General features: G+C 48.8%; 1 long non-coding RNA gene across 2 annotated transcripts, besides 1 other annotated feature; it reads left to right on the forward strand.

Annotated features, from left to right (window-relative positions):
* Window positions 1–2,192: 2,192 nt before the first annotated feature.
* Window positions 2,193–6,354, forward strand: LOC107984469 (uncharacterized). 2 transcript variants are annotated; one of them, XR_007063272.1, is made up of 2 exons: window positions 2,193–2,566; window positions 6,236–6,354. It is a non-coding gene; the product is annotated as an uncharacterized LOC107984469 (long non-coding RNA). The 2 variants fall into 2 exon arrangements; XR_001749076.2 differs by lacking the exon at window positions 2,193–2,566 and adding an exon at window positions 2,713–2,959.
* Window positions 6,610–6,904: a silencer, noted in NCBI's record as "tiled region #3539; K562 Repressive non-DNase unmatched - State 25:Art". NCBI's record gives its function as "represses a minimal TATA promoter and a strong SV40 promoter by Sharpr-MPRA in K562 cells {active_cell/tissue: K562}" and the evidence as "EXISTENCE:reporter gene assay evidence [ECO:0000049][PMID:27701403]".

The raw sequence follows: 7,504 nt of genomic DNA on the forward strand, positions 1-7,504 counted from the left end.
CACCACTGCACTCCAGCCTGGTTGACAGAGCAAGACTCTGCCTCAAAAAAAAAAAAAAAAAAAATTATCGGGGCTTGGGTGCAGTGGCTCACGCCTGTAATCCTAGCACTTTGGGAGTCTAAGGTGGAAGGATGGCTTGAGGCAGGGAGTTTGAGACAAGCCTGGGCCACATAGTGAGACATCATCTCTGCCAAAAAAGAAAAAAATCCATGTTGAGACATTTTTGTGTAAAAAAAGAAAAATTTACCTGGGCGTGGTAGTGTGCACCTGTAATCCTAGCTACTTGGGAGGCTGAGACTGGAGGATTGCTTGAGCTCCAGGAGTTTGATGCTGCAGTGAGCTATGATTATGCCACTGTGTTCCAGCCTGGGCAATAGAAGGAGACCCTGTTTCAAAAAAAAAAAAAAAAAAAAAAAAAAAAAGCTGGACACAGTGGCCCATGCCTGTGATCCCAAAAATTTGGGAGGCCCAGGCAAGTGGATCATCTGAGGTCAGGAGTTCGAGAACAGCCTGACCAACATGGTGAAATCCTGTCTCTACTAACAATACAAAATTAGTCAGGCGTGGTGGCACATGCCTCTAATCCCAGCTACTTGGGAGGCCAAGGCAGGGGAATCGCTTGAACCTGGGAGGCGGAGGTTGCAGTGAGCTGAGATCGGGCCATTGCACTCCACTCTGGGCAACAAGAGCGAAACTCTGTCTCAAAAGAAAAAAAAAGCTCTACTATTTTTACGGTTACAATGACAATAATAGAGGCTTTTCTCTCGAGGAGCTCTAAGTGAAATTAACGAGAATTCTCATGACCCTAGAAAGAGATGTTTAAAAAGCAAACACATAGGCCGGGTGCAGTGGCTCACGCCTGTAATCCCAGCACTTTCGGAGGCTAAGGCAGGCAGACGGCTTGAGGTCAGGATTTCAAAACCAGCCTGGTCAACATGGTGAAACCCTGTTTCTACTAAAAATACAAAAGCCGGGCGCGGTGGCATGCGCGCCTGTAGACCAAGATACTCAAGAGGCAGAGGCAGGAGAATCACTTGAACCCGGGAGGTGGAGTTTGCCGCAGAGATCAAGACACTGCACGCCAGCCTGGGCAACTCAGCCTCCTGAGTGGCTGGGATTACAGGCACCCGCCATCGTGCCCGGCTAATTTTTGTATTTTTATAGAGACAGGGTTTTAATATGTTGGCCAAGCTGATCTTGAACTCCTCATCTCAGGTGATCCGCCCTCCTCAGCCTCCTAAATTGCTGGGATTACAGTCATGAACCACCGCGCCTGGAGAGTTCTCTTTTCTTTGGGTAGGGCAAGGCAAACTGGAATGGATTCACCGGAGAGCTGTGCGCATGCCCTGGAAAGCATTCTGGTTAGACCCATGTGAGACAGGTTAGTTTTATTGTGTGTTCCTCATGTGTTGCTGCCATGGTCATCCTGCTCAGTAGAAGAGGAACAACAGGTTCAGACATTTGGCCTATGTCCTTGGCTGAGGAGCCAATGGGGTAAAGCTACCATATGTAGGATTATGACTGAACGACTCTAAGTCAGAATCCCGCCCAGGAGGGATATGGCAGCTCCACGGACCTTTTGTTGGCCTCGGATAGGCGATCCTCGCCGTGCGCCGGGAACCGGGGTCTGGTGCAGACAGCCCTTCATCCTGGGAAACGCGCTGCTGCCAGAAAGGCGGTCACTCCCTGACCCATCACGTAATGTGTTTGTGGGGAACCTGATGCTAAGCTATTCGTAGACGCCCTGCTTCTGGGTCAGGGTTTTCTATGGAGCAGAGCAGCTCCCTCCCTGCCATCTATTGAAAATCAGATCTCCACACAAGGGTCTCTCCACCCGTGTGTGGGGGACCCGGTGATATGGCGTGTCCTTGTGTAATTCAACCTTTGACGTGTACTTTTCTTCCTCCCTCCTGTTGCCCCTGGGGACCTCGTTCCCTGGCCCGCTCATGCCCACCCGCCCCGGAGCTCCGGAACACACAGCGGGTGTCTCTCGCCAGAGCCCATCAGCGCCCGCTGTGCATTTGGGAGGCGCCCGTCCCCACCGGCGGGCTTTCCAAGATGCCACGCGGGGGATTGCCGAGGTAGGGGTGGCGCACCTGCTCGTAGTTCCACCTCTCCGATTCCACCTCCTCCCCACACCCCTCTGGGAACTCCTCCAGGGGCTGGGATCGGATTCATTGAGCCTGTTGAGAATGGCTGAGGCGTGGGTGTCGGAGGGTGTGCCCCTGAGGTTTCTGTCCCAGTAATGTTCACGCATGCCCGGTGGTGGCCTTTGGGGTCACTGCCCCTCTCCCCGCCCCAGGTGCGCGGGGCTGGGATATGAGCCAGTCACTGCCTTTGTGCCTTTCCTTCTCTCTCCGCTGCCGGGTTCAACCAGCGGACAGTGGGGGAACGGCGGGCAGGTCGGTGGAGTTAGATGACAGTAAAGGTGGGCCGGCTCTGTGTGATAAGATTCCAACTGGGTCCGACCGCTTCCGTCCGCTGGCGCCGGGTCCCCCAGACGTCTGCGGCGAGCGTTGGAACTGACCATCAACCTGGGATTTCTAAGGAATAACAGATAACTCTGGTCAGCAGCACTACCACTTTTGTCCACTAGATGTCGCTCCTTCACTACGTTGTTTCTTCCTCTCCAATTGTTTCCACAGTATTTTCAGTTGCTCTTCATTTTGTTTTTATTTTTCCTTTTACTTTTCTTACTCCTCTTTCTACACACTGAAGTTGCTGTTGTTTTACGTTTACTTCCTTTTTTTTTTTGAGAAAAGTTGGCGTGTGAGAATGCGATCTCGGCTCATCGCAGCCTGGACCTTCCTGGGCTCCGTCAGGTGATCTTGCCATCTCAGTCTTCCAAGTGGCTGAGACTGCAGGAATAGCTTGATTCTGGGATGTCGAAGCTGCAGTGAGCCATGATCACGCCACTGCCCTCCAGCCTGAGTGACAGAGAAAGACCCTGTTTCAGAAAGTAAGAGAGACAGGTTAAAGAAATAACTCCTTGAAATTACTACAATTAATTGTGATCTAAATTACTTGTTATATTTTTCACTCCCACTAGTTTATTATTATTGTTGTTGTTATTATTTATTTGTATTATTGTTTGTTATAATTGTTATTGTTTTTATTATTTAGTTATTTAGAGATGGAGTCTTGGTCTATCACCCAGACTGCAGTGCAGTGGCACGACCTTGGCTCACTGTAGCCTCATATTCCCGGGTTCAAGTTCGAGACCAACCTGGGCAATATGGCATAACAACCGTGTCTACTAAAATCTATCACTGATACTCCCAGGGCCGTTGGATATGGCAGGTGCAAGTTCGGAGGCTGAGGCAGGCGGTTCGCTAAAGTTTGGGAGTTCGAGATGAGCCTGGGCAACAGGCTGCAGTGCATTTGCCTGACCAAGGCCCACCACAGCCTCTACCTCCCCAGCCCAAATGATGCTCCCACCTCAGGCTCCAAAGGAGCTGAAACTACAGGCGCCTGCCATCACGCCCGGCTAACTTTTTAATTTTTTCTTTTTTAAAGTAGAGACGTGGTCTCACTGTGTTGCCAGGGCTGGTCTCAAACTGCTGGGCTCAAGTGATTCTTCCACCTCAACCTCCCAAAGTGTTGGGATTATAGGTGTGAACCATGATGCGCTTCCCTCTTTTTCATTTCCTTTATTTTTCCTTTTTTCTTCCTCTTTCTTTCTTTTTCTTTCTTTCTTTTCTTTTTCTTTCTTCTCTCTCTCTTTTTCTTCCTCCCTTCTATCATTTCTCATTCTCTTTTTCTGTTTCTCTTTCTATTTTCTTCGTTATCTTTCTTCCCTTTACATCTCTGTCTCTTTTTCTTTACATTTTTTTTTAATCTTTTTTGCTGTCTGTCTTTTCTCAATTCGTTTCCTCCCATCCCTCCAACTGTCTGTCTTCGTGTGGATTCTGGAAGAGTCTCCTCATTCTGTATCCCCTGTGTATCACAAGCCTCTGAGACTTTTGCTTTGTTCTTTTCTCCTTGTTGCATAAAAGGCATTCACTCTTCTTTTATTTTGGTACTCTGTGGACGGTCGAGGGCTGGAAAGAAAAAAAACGGACCATGAATTTAATTGGTTTCACAAGAGACATGGGAGACCAAAGAACGCACGATGAGTACTTTGCTAAATATCCTGTTTATTCTCCCAACCAGGCTCATAAAAGTACAGATGCATCCGGTGGGTTGAGAGATCTCTGTGTAGTCGTGACCCTGCAATTATACTTGACAGGAGCGGTGATGACAGACGGGTGGCACAGAAACCTGCCCTTCTTTGGTACCAATTGAGCATGGTGACAACATATTCAAAATGGCCCATGTCTCAACTTGATGGTCCTGTTTTTCTGCTCTGTTCTTTAGGAATGAGTGGAGCCTTCCCGTGCTCCGCCATTTCCTTGCATTTTTCTTTTTACATACATTCATTCACTTATTTATTTATTAATTTATTTTAAATAGAGTCTCATTCTGTAGCCCAGGCTGTGGCGTGGTATCGGCTGGCTGCAATCTCTGCCTCCCTGGTTCCAGCGATTCTCCTGCCTCAGCCTCCCAAGTAGCTGGGATTACAGGCGTATGCCACCCTACTCAGCTAACTTTTGTTTTTTTAGTAGAGACAGAGTTTCACCATGTTGCCCAGGCTGGTGTTGAACTCCTGACCTTCAGGGATCTGTCTGCCCCAGCCCCCCAAAGTGCTGGGATAACAGGCGTGAGTCACTGCACCCGGCCTAAATTGCAATTTTTCAAAATAAATGTGTTTTTTGTTGTTGTTGTTGTTGTTGTTTAATAAATAGAGCATCACCTAGTAACCACTGTTATTGAAAGTCGAGGTGGCACTGAGGGAGGCCTGTCCAACTTCACAGAGCCTGGGACAACCACTTTCTCTATTTCCCCTCTGGAGGCCCCTCCCTCTCTCCTTCGCTGCCTAGGGAACCTCCATCCTGTCAGGGACCCTGTTGTTCTTTTATCCTCCTGTGTAAATGGTGTCTCGTTCAGTTGCCGAGGCGGTGGCATTGTCTCAGCTGGCTGCACTCTCTGCCTCCCTGGTTCAAGCAATTCTGCTGCCTCAGCCTCCCTATCAGCAGAAATTACCGGCACGTGCCACCCTATCTAGCTAACTTTTGTCTTTTTTAGTAGAGACAAGGCTTCACCATGTTGGCCAGGCTGATCTCCCAATCCTGACTTCGTGATCTTCCAGCCTCGGCCTCCCGAAGTGCTGGGATGACAGTCATGAGCCACTGTGCCAGGCCACCATCATTGGTTTTAACTGGGAATTCTAGATTTGAAGCACACATCATTCTATGCCACAGAATGACTTCTTTATCCTGCTGACTCAAGAAGCTGGGCCCCTTGTGATTCATTTCAAACCAAGAGTCACCTCATGTTTGGAAAACAGATCTGCTCCCAAGTTCAGTGGAGAGATGTGGCATGTAGGACAAGGGACTGTTCCTTCTGATTTAGTCTCCACGGTGGGGTTTAGGGCTGGAGCTCAGTGCAGATTGTTGACTCCCTATACCTTGGGTTCCATTGTCCCCACCCTGGAACATGGGCCTTTGCAGATCCCGGCCCTTTCTGGCCCTTAAGGCACTGTCAGAAACACCATCACGAGCTTGGATACCCCGAATGACTGTGGCTCACTCCTCTCTGGAAACATTTGAAATCTGTCCTCTATGCGTGGCCACCTAAAACCACAGGAGTGTGGGATACTTGGCCGCCATCCACCTCACTGCTTTCGGGAGAGAATGCTGAAAGTCTCTTGCTGACTCTCTTGACTCGAGTTCTTCAAGGGCATGTGGTCAGGACATAGTGAGACCAGATGTATTAAGTCAGGCTGGGTGTGGTGGCTTACACCTGCAACCCCAACACTTTGGGAGGCCAAGGCGGTAGGATCGCTTGAGCCTGGGAGCTCAAGACCAGCCTTGGACAACACGGCCAAAACCTGAGGTGCATGCCTGTGGTCTCAGCTACTCAGGAGGCTAAAGTGGGAGAATCACCTAACCCTGGGGTGGTTGAGGCTGCAGTGAGCCGTGATGGTGTCACTGCACTCCAGCCTGGGTGACAGACAGAGTGATACCCTGTAGCAAACAGACAGACAGACAAGAGCTATATTATGTCCTTCTCAGGGTAGGAAGCAAAAATAACAGAATATGGTATTTAAGATTTTTTTAAATTTTAAATTTCAATCTATTTATTTATTAATTTTGACTCCATATTATGAAACCAGCTAATTTTTGTATTTTTGTAGAGACGAGGCTTCACCATGTTGCCAAGTATGGTCTTGATTGCCTGGGATCAAGGAATCCACCCGCCCTCAGGCTCCCAATGTTCGAGAATTAAAGGCGTGAGCCACTGCTCCTGACAGCATTGTTTTTTGTTTGTTTGTTTGTTTGTTTCTTTTTTTAATCTCTTGTCTTTCCAGGAGTTTCACGGCAGAGTGTTTGGCTGGCTTGTTTAAATTCATTCTAAATAGGAACTGAGGATATCAGCTTCTGGCCTCATGGACTCAGAGCTGATGAGTCCCAAAAACTCATAAAGTTTAAAATAAATAATTTTGTTGTACAGAAATACACGGATGCACCCAAAACACAGAAACAATTCTTTTAAAAGTTGTCTTAGTCCTGGTGGGTGTGCCAGTGATTCTTTTAGGTTTGGAGCTTGACTGAGAGAATTTCCAGTCGGTCTCTGGATGGAAGTTCCAGATGATCCGATGGGTGGGGACTTAGACTGTGTCCCCCCAGGGGCCCTGGTCTATTAGTTGTGGGGACTGCCTGGGAGAGCGTGGTGACCCACTGTACTGTGGGAGCCTCTACCCTTCCCCTCCCTTCTCCCCCTCCGGGTGATGCCAATTCATTCCAGGCTGAAACTCTCATTGGCAGACTTTGGGCATCACCTAGTGGCCACTGTTACTCTGAAAACTGAGGCCTCAAGGAAGAAGAAAGTTCATGGTGCCTGTACACAGCCCAGGGCAACTGTGTCGTCTCCACTTCTCCTGCCGCCACCTCCAAGTTTCTCCCTCCCTTGTTTCCTAGGGAATCACCACCCTGATGACTGGGTCTGATTCTTCTTTGATCAGTTAAAAAAATAAATAAATATGCCGGGAGTGGTGGCTCACACCTGTAATCCCAGCACTTTGGGAGGCAGAGGCAGGCAGATCACGAGGTCAGGAGTTCAAGTCCAGCCTGGCCAGTATGGTGAAAACGTATCTCTACTAAACATACAAAAAACTAGCCATGCATGGTGGTGCACACCTGTAATCCCAGCTACTCAGGAGGCTGAGGCAGGAGAATTGCTTGAACCCAGTAGGTTAAGGTTGCAGTGAGCCAGGATAGTACCACTGCACTCCAACCTGGGCAACAGAGTGAGACTCAGTCTCAAAAAAAAAAAAAAAAAAGGGGGGGGGGGGAAAGAGGCCAGGCGTAGTGGCTCACACCTGTAATCCTAGCACTTATGGAGGCTGATGTGGGCAAATCACCTGAGGTTGGGATTTCGAGACCAGCCTGACCAACACGGAGAA

This window comes from Homo sapiens, chromosome 12 (assembly GCF_000001405.40).
Source record: "Homo sapiens chromosome 12, GRCh38.p14 Primary Assembly".
NCBI lineage: Eukaryota > Metazoa > Chordata > Mammalia > Primates > Hominidae > Homo > Homo sapiens.